The sequence below is a fragment of the Homo sapiens genome, chromosome 12 (assembly GCF_000001405.40).
Source record: "Homo sapiens chromosome 12, GRCh38.p14 Primary Assembly".
NCBI lineage: Eukaryota > Metazoa > Chordata > Mammalia > Primates > Hominidae > Homo > Homo sapiens.
Window position 1 is genome coordinate 95,397,522 of NC_000012.12, and position 13,585 is coordinate 95,411,106.

The 13,585-nt window shown below is 45.3% G+C and overlaps 2 long non-coding RNA genes across 6 annotated transcripts in view; both read right to left on the minus strand.

Annotated features, from left to right (window-relative positions):
- LOC105369917 (uncharacterized) overlaps nucleotides 1-7,977 on the minus strand; it is a 67,929-nt gene extending 59,952 nt beyond the window's left edge. Inside the window, exon 1 of the long non-coding RNA XR_001749265.1 lies at nucleotides 7,834-7,977. This is a non-coding gene — a long non-coding RNA (uncharacterized LOC105369917). The remainder of the gene's footprint in view (nucleotides 1-7,833) is intronic.
- Nucleotides 7,978-10,417: 2,440 nt separating this feature from the next.
- LOC107984545 (uncharacterized) overlaps nucleotides 10,418-13,585 on the minus strand; it is a 40,761-nt gene continuing 37,593 nt past the window's right edge. For all 5 annotated transcript variants that reach the window (XR_001749267.2, XR_001749268.2, XR_001749266.2 and 2 more), the window contains one exon: nucleotides 10,418-10,616. This is a non-coding gene — a long non-coding RNA (uncharacterized LOC107984545). The remainder of the gene's footprint in view (nucleotides 10,617-13,585) is intronic.

Sequence of the window (13,585 nt, forward strand, 5' to 3'; positions counted from 1 at the left end):
TCAATAAATTCAAATTCAGCAAATCTGGAGGGTGGATTTATCCTCATGGTGCTTTATTTCACTGAGAGGCTGCCTTGTGAATAAGTTATAATGTCAATCTCTTCCTAAAGATCCAAGGGCCAGAGCATGTTTTTCTAAATCCCCATTGCATGCTTTTTTTCATTTGCTGCATTTATACGCTTGAGGTGTCTTTGTTTTACATTTTTCATCTAAGGAGCTTTAAATATGAATCATCTACTAAACTGAAAGCGAGCGCATGGAAGAGGATTAGGCAGAGGTGTGGGGTAAGTAATAGCCTAAGGAAAAGTAAATACAGAGAAACAGTAATTACAGTGAGTTGAACACTGGTCCTCCCCATGCATGTCCACCCTAAACCTCAGAATGTGATCTTATTTGAAACGTGCTGTAGTCCCAGCAGGTTGGGAGTCCGAGGTCAGAGGATTGCCTGAGCCCAGGAGTTTGAGATCAGCCTGGGCAACATGGCGAGACCCCATCTCTAAAAATAAAGTTAAAAAATAAAATAAAATAGGGCCCTTGCAGATGTAATTAGTTAAGGATCTTGAGATGAAATCATCCTGGATTTAGGGTGGGTCCTAAATCCAATGACTGGAGTGCTTATGACCAGAGCAGAGATCCCACAGAGGAAGTGGCAATGTGAATGAAGAGAGAAGCAAATGGAAGTGAAGCATCTGCAAACCAAGAAACGCCACGCATTGCTGGCGACAGCAGAAGCTAGGAGAGAGGCATGGAAGAGTCTCTCTCTCAGAGCCTCCAGAAGAAACCAATCCTGTCAACACCTTGGTTTCTCACTTCTAGCCTCCTGAACTGTAAGAGAATATATTTCTGTTGTTTTAAGCCACCCAATGTATGGCAATTTGTCATGTCGGCCCTGCAAAACAAATACAGTAAATTAACACCTGCTGCAGGTAGTCTTGAAGAGCCCGGCAGCCTCTGCCACCTGCACTTGGTTGTCTGTGGACACTCTGACATTCTTACCTGACTCCTTCAGCCCACCTCTGACCTTATCCTGACCCTCACTAACATTAAATGCCATCTCTTATCCTCCTCTTTCTGAGCCTCTGCAGTATGACATGGGGAGGGATTGGAGTCAGGGAGGCTGTGGGATATTGTGTATGTCAGGAGGAACTTTGGATAAGGCATGAGTTAGTCAAGGCTGGGACTGGTTAAAGGATCAAGGTCAAGCATCGGATGAGCCTATGTGGGCACACATTGATTGGGAAATTTTTTTCTTTTTTTTGAGACAGGGTCTTGCTCTGTCACCCAGCCTGGAGTGTAGTGGTGCAATCATGGCTCAGTGCAGCCTCGACATCCCAGGCTCAAGCCACTCTCCCATCTCTCTCCCTACCAAGTAGCTGGGACCACGGGTGTGCGCCACAATGTTGGGCTATTTTTTTAAAAATATTTTGTGAAATCGGGGGTCTCATTATATTGCCTAGGCTGGTCTTGAAATCCTGAGCTCAAGTGATCCTCCCACCTTAGCCTCCCAAAGTGCTGGGATTACAGGTGTGAGCTACTGTGGCGCAGACAGACTGGTACTATTTTTAAAAGCCAAAAATAATGGTCAAAAGGGCAGGCTTTGCAACACAAACATCTGATAGCCTTCATTTGATGTAGTAGGTAGAATAATGGTCCCTCAAATATGTCCATTCCCTAATCTCCAGAATCTGTGAATATGTCTTTTCATGGCAAAAGGGACTTTGCGAACGCCTCTCAAGCTAAAGATTTTGAGATGGGGAAATTATCCTGGACTACCTGAATGGGCCCAGTGTAATCACAAGGGTCCTTCTGAAAAGGGAGATAGGAGAATCAGTCAGAAAAGGAGATGTGGTCGGGTGTGGTTGCTCACGTCTATAATCCCAGCACTATGGGAGGCTGAGGTGGGAGGATTGCTTGAGCCCAGGAGTTTGAGACCAGCCTGGCAACATAGTGAGACCCTCTCACTACAAAAAAAAAAAAAAAAAAATTAGCTGGGTGTGGTGGCACACACCTGTCATCCCAGCTACTTGGGAGGCTGAGGCAGGAGAATCACTTGAGCCCAGGAGTCTGAGGCTGCAGTAAGCTATGATCAGGCCACTGCACTCCAGCATGGGTGCAGGATGACACCCTGTCAAAAACAAACAAACAAACTACAACAACACTATAAAGTATTATTGGCTGGGTGCAGTGGCTCACACCTGTAATCCCAACACTTTGGGAGGCTGAGGCAAGAGGATTGCTTGAGCTCACCAAGCCTGGGTGACATAGGGAGACCCCATCTCTACAAAAAATTTAAAAATTACCAGGTGTGGTGGTGCATGCCTGTAGTCCTAGCTACTCAGGAGGCTGAGGCAGGAGGATCGCTTGAACCCAGGAGGTCAAGGCTGCAAGTGAGCTGTGATTGTGCCACTGCACTCCAGTCTCAGCAACAAGACCTTATAAAAAAAATTAAAAAAAACGAAAGAAAATGTAGTAACAGAAGCAGAGAGAGGAATTTGAAGATTCTATGCTGCTGTTTTGAAGGTGGAGGAAGGGGCCAGGAGCCCAGCAATGTAGGCCATCTCTAGACTCACTCTCTCAGAAAAGGCAAGGGTGTGAGTCTCCCTCAGAGCCTCCCAAGGAATGTGGCCTGGTTGATACCTTGACTTTGCCCAGTGAGACTCAGTTTGGACCTCCAACATCCAGAACCATACAAGGATGAATTTGTGTGAAGTCACTAAGTTTGTGGTAGTCTGTTATAGCAATCATAGAAAACTCTCCTCCTGGGCCACTGATATGCTCCTGCTGTGGGGGAGCTATCCACTGCTTCCCAGCCTTTGCCTCCAGAAACAGCCTCATGAGCAATCCCCAAGGATGCAGAAAATGCCCTGGTATGATAGAGAACAGGAGAGGTCTCCCTGGTCAGTCGCCGCTCTTGGGCAGTGTACACCCAGCCATCTCTGGTTTCACAAAGAAACACTTATGCTATGGCACATTTCCTAAAGCACGATAAAGCTGTAGTACCTTGAAACACCAACTTTCATGCTCCTATGGCAGTATCCCTTCATCTCGTTCCTGCCTGTGCACTGTCAAGGGCACATTCTCAGCCTTGGTGTTTCCCATTACGCTTGGGGATTCTCAAACCTCCCCATTCCACACACCCTCTGCCTTCTCCCTCTCTCTCTCTTGCTCTCTCTCTCTCTTTTGAAATGAGGATCTCATTACATTGGCCAGTCTGATTTTGAATTCCTGGCCTCAAGCAATCCTCCTGCCTTGGTCTTCCAAAGTGTTGAGATTACAGGTGTGAGCTACTGCACCCAACCACCCTCTGCCTTCTCTTTCTGCCATTCAGAATCACTGCTTCATGGAGTTTTCAGGTCTTTACCTACCTACCTATCTCCATATCTATCTGTCTACCTATGAATGTATGTATGTATCTATCATTTATCTACCTACCTACCTATGTATCTGTGTATCTATACATCTGTCTATCTATCATCTACTTACCTATCTCCATATCTATCTATGAATGTATGTATGTATCTATCATTTATCTACCTACTACCTATGTATCTGTATCTGTGTATCTATACATCTGTCTATCTATCTATCTATCTATCTATCTATCTATCTATCTATCTATCATCTACTTACCTACCTATCTCCCCATCGTCTATCTATTGTCTATCATCTACCTATTATCTCTCTATCTTTTTAAAACTACTTTATTGAGGTATGAACAACATACAAAAAGCTCTAGTATATAATGTTGACAATTTGATTAATTTGGAGGTAAGTACATACCCATGAAACCATCACCACAATCTATGCTATAAACGTATCTATCATCTCCAAAAGTTATCTATCTCTTATCTTATAACACACTAAAAACTTCCATGGTAATTTGTCTTGTTTAGATCTTACAATCGTACTACGGGATAGGTACAATGTATATATATATATACACACACACATATATATACATATATATATATAAAATATGGATTTTAAAAATAATATTTAGGTTTTTCTGATTATAAATGCAATGATACCTATGCACTCCTTATTAACTGACTATAAACACAGTGTGTAGATTGTTACATGTTCTTTATTGTAACATATACATAAAATAATTAATTAAATTTATTTTGGAGATATATATGTTTATATACACATATATGTATATTCCAAGTATTAACACTTGGGCATGCTATGTAATGTAGTGGGAGAAATTTGCCATGTTTTCTCTTCCCAGTCTTTCCTTTTTACCCATGACCTTCTCCTACTCAACTAAGATATTGGACATCACCTAAGGCTTCTGGAAAGGGTTATGAGAACAGAAGTGTCAAATTCTTGGCTTTTGAGTTTAAGAAGTTGAGATCTAGACACATGGCAAAGGGGATGTGGAAGAATATGTAATATCAGGAGCAGGTTTTTCCACCCCAGAGGAGTAGGGGATGGGAAGCAGTGTGGGAGGATGAGATCCAGGTGTGAGAGGCTCCCTGAGAAACAGCCGTGTGCTGTCCTCCTTAGGCCAAGTTGTAGGTAGGATGGGGGAACTCAATAGAGGCCCCAGGTTGGAAAGCCTGGAAGCTGACCTCAGGCCCAACATAACTCAAGAGAAGGAGAACAGATGGTTGTGTGCAAGACAGTCTCCATTTCCCCACGTTCTGCCCAGGACAGGAACAAACAAGTGTTTCTCTTGTGCCAAGGATGTGGAAGCAGCTGAGAGTGAGCTTGCCCTGAGAGGCCGGGGAAACTGGGGTCCAGGGGACACAGCTGTCAGCTTCAGGGACCAATCACTGCAGACCATTTGGAATGAAAGTGCCTGAGTATCAGATGTCAATCCCCCAACCGCCAATGCCTTGTCATTTCTTCAGCTCGCTGGAGCTGAGATGAACTCATAGAGAGAGGATTCCAGGGCTGCAAGTCTCTGCTACCTACTGGTAGGGGCTTACCTAGAAATTAAGTTGAGTGGCAGAATTTTTTTTTTCCAAGTTGCTTTTGGCCGGCCGTGATGGCTCACACCTGTAATACCATCACTTTGGGAGGTGAAAGGATCATTTGAGCTCAAGAGTTCAAGATCAGCCTGAGTAACATAGCAGAAATCCTGAAACCCCATCTCTACAAAAAATACAAAAATTAGCCAGGTGTAGTGGCCTGCCCTCCAGTCTGGGCAACAGAGCGAGACCCTGTCTCAATTAAAAAAAAAAAAGTTGTTTTTCCTGCTCACCTGGATGTGTGGATGGAGATTTGTATCCATGACAACAGTACCTTGTAGCTTACTCACCCATTCCTTAGCTGGTAGATACTTAGGTTGTCCTCCCCACTCACGGGAAGCTACCAATACCAAGACCGTGGCAAGGTAGTGCTTTCCCTTCCCTTGGTATGAATAAACTCACTTTTTTCTTGTCAACAGGTTGATATTTGGGTGATATTTTCCAGGAGCCAGCATTCTAGAGGTCATGGTTTTGCTTGGATTTGTAAAGCGTGCTCTTACCGGAAGGCTTTGCTCTGACATTTCCTTCTGCCTGGAACAGTTTGCCTACAACAGCATGTCTGCCCCTCACTTCCACAGGTTCTGCTCAGATGTCCCCATATCAAACAGGCCTTCCTTGGCCACTCCCAAAATAGCATCTCCCCATTCCCACTATCCTCTAGTCCCTCTTTCCTGCTTTATTTTTTTTTACAGCACTTTTCTCCACCCGATATGGAATATATTTATTTACTCAGCCTCCCTTCACTAAAACGTAAGCTATACAAGGGCAGAGACTTTATCTTGTTCCCTGCTATCTCCCCAGTGCTTAAACAGTACTCACATTATTAGGTACTTTGCAAATATTTGTTGAATCAATATATATAAATATCTTCTACAGATGGCTTTTTGTTTCAATTTTCTGTATTTTTTCTTTTTATTTATTTATTTATTTATTTTTTGAGATGGAGTCTTGGTCTGTTACCCAGGCTGGAGTACAGTGGTGCCATCTAGGCTCACTGCAACCTCTGCCTCCGGGGTTCAAGCAATTCTCCTGCCTCAGCCTCCCCAGTAGCTGGGACTACAGGTGCGCCACCACACCCAGCTAATTTTTGTATTTTTAGTAAAGACAGGATTTCTCCATGTTGGCCAGGCTGGTCTTGAACTCCTGACCTCAAGTGATCCACCTGCCTTGGCCTCCCAACGTGCTGGGATTACAGGTGTGAGCCACCATGCCTGACCTTTTTTTCTTTTTAAATATTGCCTGTAGGCTCCTGACAAGACAGCTCTTGAGAAACAGGAACTGCATCTTACACTACTCTTTATTCTGAGTGTCTGGAATGTAATAGATGCTCAATAAATATTTACTACAGGAAAGGAAGAAGGAAAAAATATGTAAGCAAATGAATAAAACTTATAGTAATGTTATGGCTGAGGGCAGGGTGAGATGATAAAGTAACTGCACCTCTCTTCCTTGATTTCTCACTGCCACCCCCCACCTCAGGATGGCTCATCCAAATTGTTCACCAAGTAAAAGTTAGCTGATTTGGGTGTACAGCTATAATAAGTTGAATATATCTTCCATAAGAAAATGGAAAGGCTTGGAGAGGAGGGGTGGCATAAGAGGGGGGAAAAGGGGGCTCTTAGAAAAGAGAAAAAAGAGGATCCAGGAGAGGAAAACATGAAATATTGGGCAACATTTTAGGACAAAATGAACACTTCAATACATTTTACACTCCAAGGAAATTACTTGTATTACTCTACTGTAAATTCCCCATGACCCAAACATCAAGATGCTCGGCTACCCTCACAGGCCTTGGGTGAACAGTTTTTATATGTGAAAATTAAGAGAAGGAGCAAATTCCCCAGTTGCCTCAAATCAAAAAGGAGCCAAAATAAACCTACAGATACAAGGCACAGACGAGAGAAACAGATTCCAAGGAGGCGGAATGTCAAAGCCAGAGGAGACCATGAGATCATAATCCCTAAGAACTTTGCAGAAATCTTGCATGTATGTATGTATGTATGTATGTATGTATGTATGTATGTATGTATCTATCTATCTATCTATTATCTATCATCTATCTATCTATCTCTATCATTTATATCTATCTATCTATTTTTACTTGAGACAGGGCCTCGCTCTGTCACCCAGAGTGGAGCACAACGGTGCAGTTCACAGCTCACTGCAACCCCTAACTCCTGGGCTCAAAGAATCCTCCCACCTCAGTCTCCTTAGTAGCTAGGACTGCAGGTATGCACCACCACACCCAGCTAAAATTTTTAATTTTTTTGTAGAGATGGGCATCTGACTATTTTGCCCAGGCTGGTCTCGAGCTCTTGGGCTCAAGCAGACTTCCTGCCCCGGCCTCTGAAAGTGCTGGGATTACAGGCATGAGCACCATGCCCAGTTAAAAAATCTCAAGGGGGATACGAGACAATCCTTGGGGCAGGGAATGGGGGTCCTGCCAGTGTTATCTAGTTCTTAAGGGTGAGGGAGGCCCAGCTGATACCTGGCTCTCTGAAATGACAGCCTCCGTATTCAGCTCCCAGTCTGTGCTTTCCTAGGGTCTTGCCTTTGTGCAGGTCCCTCTGCTCTAGAGAGCCACAGATCTCCACACAGGTGGTGCAACTGGATTGAGACCCATGGTCTTCCAACCTAAGCTAATGCAAATCTGTACAAGGAACAGCCTTGGGCACGTGTGTACGTTTCCTTTTCCTTACCTGCTTTCCCAATTAGAGTGAGAATTAGAAAGATTGCTTCCCTTTTGTCAGGAGTTAGCTTTTCTTCTGCCCTACCCCCGACCCCTTGCCACCCCCCCCACCCATACCCACCCCCTTACCTTACCCCAAAGTTCTAGTTTGTCTGGAATCTCATGTACCTCTTAGGAAAAGAAATGCTGCCACATCCAAAAGGTGTAAAGGTTCCAAGGATAACTGGATTTGGCAAGTCACTGAATACGCTGGTGTACACACCACCTGAAGGGAGGTCAGAATAGCTCTGACAGACAGCTAGGTGCCCAGAAGGATAGATACAATCCAGGTTAAGGAATTGATATTCATTAACAATAATAATTCTTATATAGAAAGATGTTAGCTGTCATACATACGTCCTTATTTATTTATTTATTTATTTTTTGAGATGGAGTCTTGCTCTGTCACCCAGGCTGGAGTACAGTGGTGTGATCTCGGCTCACTGCAACCTCCACCTCCCCGGTTCAAGCAATTCTCCTGCCTCAGCCTCCCAAGTAGCTGGAATTACAGGTGTGTGCCACCATGCCCAGCTAATTTTTTGGTATGTTGAGTGGAGACAGGGTTTTACCACATTGGCTAGGCTGGTCTCGAACTCCTGACCTCAGGTGATCCACCTGCCTTGGCCTCCCAAAGTGCCGGGATTACAAGCGTAAGCCACCGCACCCGGCCTATTTTATTTTTTAATCAGCAATTTACAGGCCAGGCACCGTGGCTCATGCCTGTAATCCCAGAACTTTGGGAGACCAAGGCAGGTGGATCACTTGAGGTTAAGAGTTCAAGACCAGCCTGGCCAACATGTTGAAACCCCGTCTCTACTAAAAATACAAAACTAGCTGGGCATGGTGGCACATGCCTGTAATCCCAGTTACTTGGGAGCCTGAGGCAGGAGAAAGGCTTGAACCTGGGAAGTGCAGGTTGCAGTGAGCCGAGATTGCACTATTGCATTCCAGCCTGTGTGACACAGTGAGACTCCATCTCAAAAAAAAAAAAAAAAAATCAGACTGCACACGGTGGCTCACTCCTATAATCCCAGCACTTTGGGAGGCTGAGGTGGGCGGATCATGAGGTCAGGAGTTCGAGATAAGCCTGGCTAACACGGTGAAACCCTGTCTCTACTGAAAATACAAAAATTAGCCGGGTGTGGTGGTGGGCACCTGTAATCCCAGCTACTTGGGAGGCTGAGGCAGGAGAATTGCTAGATTCCGGGAGGCAGAGGTTGCAGTGAGCCAAGATCTCGCCACTGCACTCCAGCCTGGGTGACAGAGCAAGACTCCATCTCGGGGAAAAAAAAAAATCAGCAATTTACAGATAAGGCAATGGGAGGGCCAGAGAGGGTGCCTCTCACTCCCATAGTCTCTGAGCGTGATAACGGTAGCGCCAGACCAGCACACAGGCTTCATGATTTTCAGCAGCATGTTCTTCCCATCCATGCGTATTTCTGCACCCTCATTTTAATCCTAAATTCTTTGAAGCCAATCTGTGAATAATAACAAGGGAGTCTGGTTAGACTGGTCCTGTTAATGGCTAGAGTGCTGGAAACCAAAGCTGTGCATTGTGACCTAGTATTTCTCAATGAGCTCGTTCCAGCATAGAGCAGGAGGATCAGTTGTCCTGACAACATCTGTGGATAGGTAGGGGTAAAGAGGGGCTGAGGATGATTACAGATATGCGAACAATTTCACAAAACCTACCTGTACCGACCTCTCCAAAACTGTCTGCAATGGACTCTTGAGGCCTTTTTCATTTTGGATTTGTAGGAGCTGATTATAAAAGTTCTCTTCTTTCTTAGCTAGATTCTCTAGATGCTAAATCCCCATGGCATTCTCTCTAAGCAGGAAAATAAACCAAGGACAACTTGTTTCTCAGAATCACCTGAGCCCTCAGGCACTTCACACAAATATCAGCTACATGGCTGGGTGCAGTGGCTCACACTTGTAATCCCAACATTTTGGGAGGCTGAGGCAGAAGGATCACTTGAGGCCAGCAGTTTGACAGCAGCCTGAGCAATATAGTGAGACACTGTCTCTATTTTAATGTAATATTAAAACATTGTTTAAAAAATTAGAATTAACAAACAAACAAAAACGTGCAAAAAAATATATGCACGATGACCAGAGCTTCCCTTAAAAAGAAGGAAGCTTGGGCTGAGTGCAGTGGCTCACGCCTTTAATCCCAGCACTCTGGGAGGCCGAGGCAGGAGGATCAATTGAGGCCAGGAGTTTGAGACCAGCCTGGACAACATGGTAAAACCCTGTCTGTACAAAATATACAAAAATTAGCCGGGCATGGTGGCATGTGCCTGTAATCCCAGCTACTCAGGAGGCTGAGATGGGAGGATGGCTTGAGCCTGGGAGGCTGAGGCTGCAGTGAACCAAGATTGTGCCATTGCATTCCAGCCTAGGCAACAGAGCAGGATCCTGTGGGGAAAAAAAATAAAAATAAAAAAAGAAGGTTGTAAAGTGAGGAACTTGCCCCAACTTCTTTTTTGGGTTGATTTCTCTTGCCCCCAGATTGTGGGGATGTGGACCATTGGTAAAAAGGGATTAACAAACTCAAGGTCTGAGACCTCTTTTCCCAATCCTTCCTGGGTTTTTTCTGCTGAAATGGAAACCCCCAGCTGTCAGCCCCTTCCATCACGACCTGCCCCCTTCATCCTCCTTCCCGCCTGGGATTTTCACAAGGATATTAGGTCAGAGAGGAGCCATCCACCAGAGCGTAATGGAATTTTTTCATGTTGGGGTCAGCCTTTTTGACAATTGGCATCTGAGGCTTCTTCTCCAGCAGCTCCAGCCAGAAACTCTGTGAGCACTGCTGATCCCTGCTCTCCTCCACGCCTTCCAGGTCCTCATAGCGGCGCCGGATAAGTTGTTTGTTGACGCCCTCTTTTTTTTGCTTTGCTTCTTCTATTTTGCTGTTCAAAAGAAGAGAATTCAAGACACGGCTTGCTTCTTGGTCTTATCAAGGTCTGCAGGAGGGCCAGGGGCTCTGTTTGAGGCCCCTGGAGCCTCACCTTTACATGGATGTAATAAGCTTCCTTTAAGTCGGAAGAGCTGGATTTCAAGATTCATCCTGAGTCCCTAGCTAGTGTGTATTGAGTGCTTCCAATTTAAACAGTTATTGAGCACCTCCTGTGTGTGCAGCACTGTACCAGAGGCTGTAGGAAATATAAGGAATAGTGCATCGTCCCTGTGCTCACAGGAGCAGCATGGAGCAGTACAGGCTCTAGATAAGAACGAACTGTGAGGCCGGGCGTGGTGTCTCATGCCTGTAATCCCAGCATTTCGGAAGGCTGAGGTGGGTGGATCACTTGAAGCCAGAAGTTTGAGACCAGCCTCGCCAACGTGGTGAAATCCTGTCTTTACTAAAAATAACAACAACAAAAAAAAATTTATCTGGGCATGGTGGCATGCGCCTGTAATCCCAGCTACTCAGGAGGCTGAGGCACAAGAATTGCTTCAAACTTGGGAGGCAGAGGCTGCGTGAGCCGAGATCACACCACTGCACTCCAGCCTGGGCAACAGAGCAAGACTCTGTCTAAAAAAAATAAAAATAAAAAATAAACTAAATGTGAATCCTGACTCTGCCACTTGGCACCACGGGAATGAGGACAGACTACTAAACTCCTCTGAGTCTTGGTTTCTTCATCTGTAAAATGGGGACGCTAATACCTATTGGAAATGTAAGAATTATCTGATTAATGAATACAAACCTCTGCGCATAGACCCCCGCCTTTAGTATGCATCCTACAAATCCTAGTTGTTATGGTTACAATTTGGTGAGGAACCTACACATTTGTTAATAATAACGTGGTAAAGGAAAAAATACCTGTCATTCCTAGGTTTTACACTGAGACCCTGATATGAAGGTAGCATCTTAGAATATTCATGTATCATTCACAAATATTCATTAGGTTTCTTCCACAGGCAAGACTCATAACAAAAGAAGTGCCTGAGTTATACGGCTACGTGGCTACGTGGTAAAGCCAGGATTCAATGTCATGCACACCCCAATTCCAAATTCATTACTAGACCTCCCCGGGCTCTGTATCTGAGGATAAAGCTGATGAAGCAGACCTTCCTAGTTCTTGCCCAGCCCAGCTTTTCAATCCCAACACACATGCACACACGTGCACGTGTGTGTATGCACATACTTATAAACACAACCACAGACACTCCTGTACCCAAGCATGCCAAACAGTAGCTGTTAGCAACATTCCATTAGAAGCCTCAGTCAGGTGCAGTGGCTTACACCTGTAATCCCAACACACTGGGAGGCCGAGGCAGGAGGATTGCTTGAGGCCACGAGTTCAAGACCAGCCTGAGTAGCACGGCAAGACCATGTCTCTAAAAATAATAGTATAATAAAAATTAAAAGGAGAAGCCTCCAGGAGTCAAGCTGGTAAAGCAGAGGTCATGTACTGGAGAGACATGCTTAGCTCTCTTGGACACCAGCATCACCTGTTTAATATCTGCATAGACTGGCTGGCTTGCCTCTACTCCTTGGCCCCAGCACCCAAAGGCAGGCTGCTGGGCTTCTCACTCATTGAAACAGATGTGGGGGCTGGGTGCAGTGGATCACACCTGTAATCCCAGCATTTTGGGAGGCTAAGGCAGGCAGATGACTTGAGGCCAAGAGTTCGAGAGCAGCCTGGCCAACATGGTGAAACCCTGTCTCTACTAAAAATACACAAATTAGCCGGGCATGGTGGTGCACGCCTGTAATCCCAGCTACCTGAGAGGCTGAAGCAGGAGAATCGCTTGAACCCGAGATGGGGAGATTGCAGTGAGCTGAGATCGCACCACTGCCCTCCAGCCTGGGTGACAGAGAGAGACTCCGTCTAAAAACAAAACAAAACAAAACAAAACACAGTGTGGGGATGTAACCGGACAGAATGAAGACCAACCCTTGAGAACAGCCAGAAGTACCAGGACCCTAGTTAGGAGAAGTTAGGAGACTTGGGAGCCTTCTTCTCAAAGAAGTCAGCAGTTTGTGCATTTCCAATGTGGACATAGAGTAAAGCTCAAAACAAACAACTAGATCTCAGCAACAGCGTGAAGACAAATCTCTGAAGCCACCCTTGGAGAGTTCCTTCAGATTCAGAGCAGAGTCCACTGGGAATCCCCAGTAGTTTTCATTTTTAAGGCATGCTTAAAATTTCCTAAAATTGAGCTTACATATGTCAAGGAGGATTTGGAGTGTTGAGGAGAATTGGTCTCTGTGTTTTGTGTGTGTGTGTATACATGTGGCACATTTACTGGATGGGTGTGGGGCTTGGGGAGTGGGAAGAGCTATGCTGAAAGGAAACTTTTTAAAGGATTAAGAATAAGGGCCGGGCGCGGTGGCTCACGCCTGTAATCCCAGCACTTTGGGAGGTCGAGGCGGGTGGATCATGAGGTCAGGAGATCGAGACCATCCTGGCTAACAAGGTGAAAGCCCGTCTCTACTAAAAATACAAAAAATTAGCCGGGCGCGGTGGCGGGCGCCTGTAGTCCCAGCTACTCGGGAGGCTGAGGCAGGAGAATGGCGTGAACCCGGGAAGGGGAGCTTGCAGTGAGCCGAGATTGCGCCACTGCAGTCCGCAGCCCGGCCTGGGCGACAGAGCGAGACTCCGTCTCAAAAAAAAAAAAAAAAAAAAAAAAAAAAAAAGAATAAGTACTTGGAAATAATACAGCTGATTAAGAAAGCAGGGAAAAGTATAATAGCAACACCATTGTTGGGGAAGGAACTAGAGCCAGAAGGGTGGATAAGGGCCAGATCTGCCACTCACTGAGTAGTTGGAAAATAGAAATGCTTGGTTAAAACAACTGCCCCCTCTCCCTTCCCTTTTGTCTCTTCTCTTGCTTCCCTCCTCCTGACTCTCCTTCCTTTCTTTCCCATATT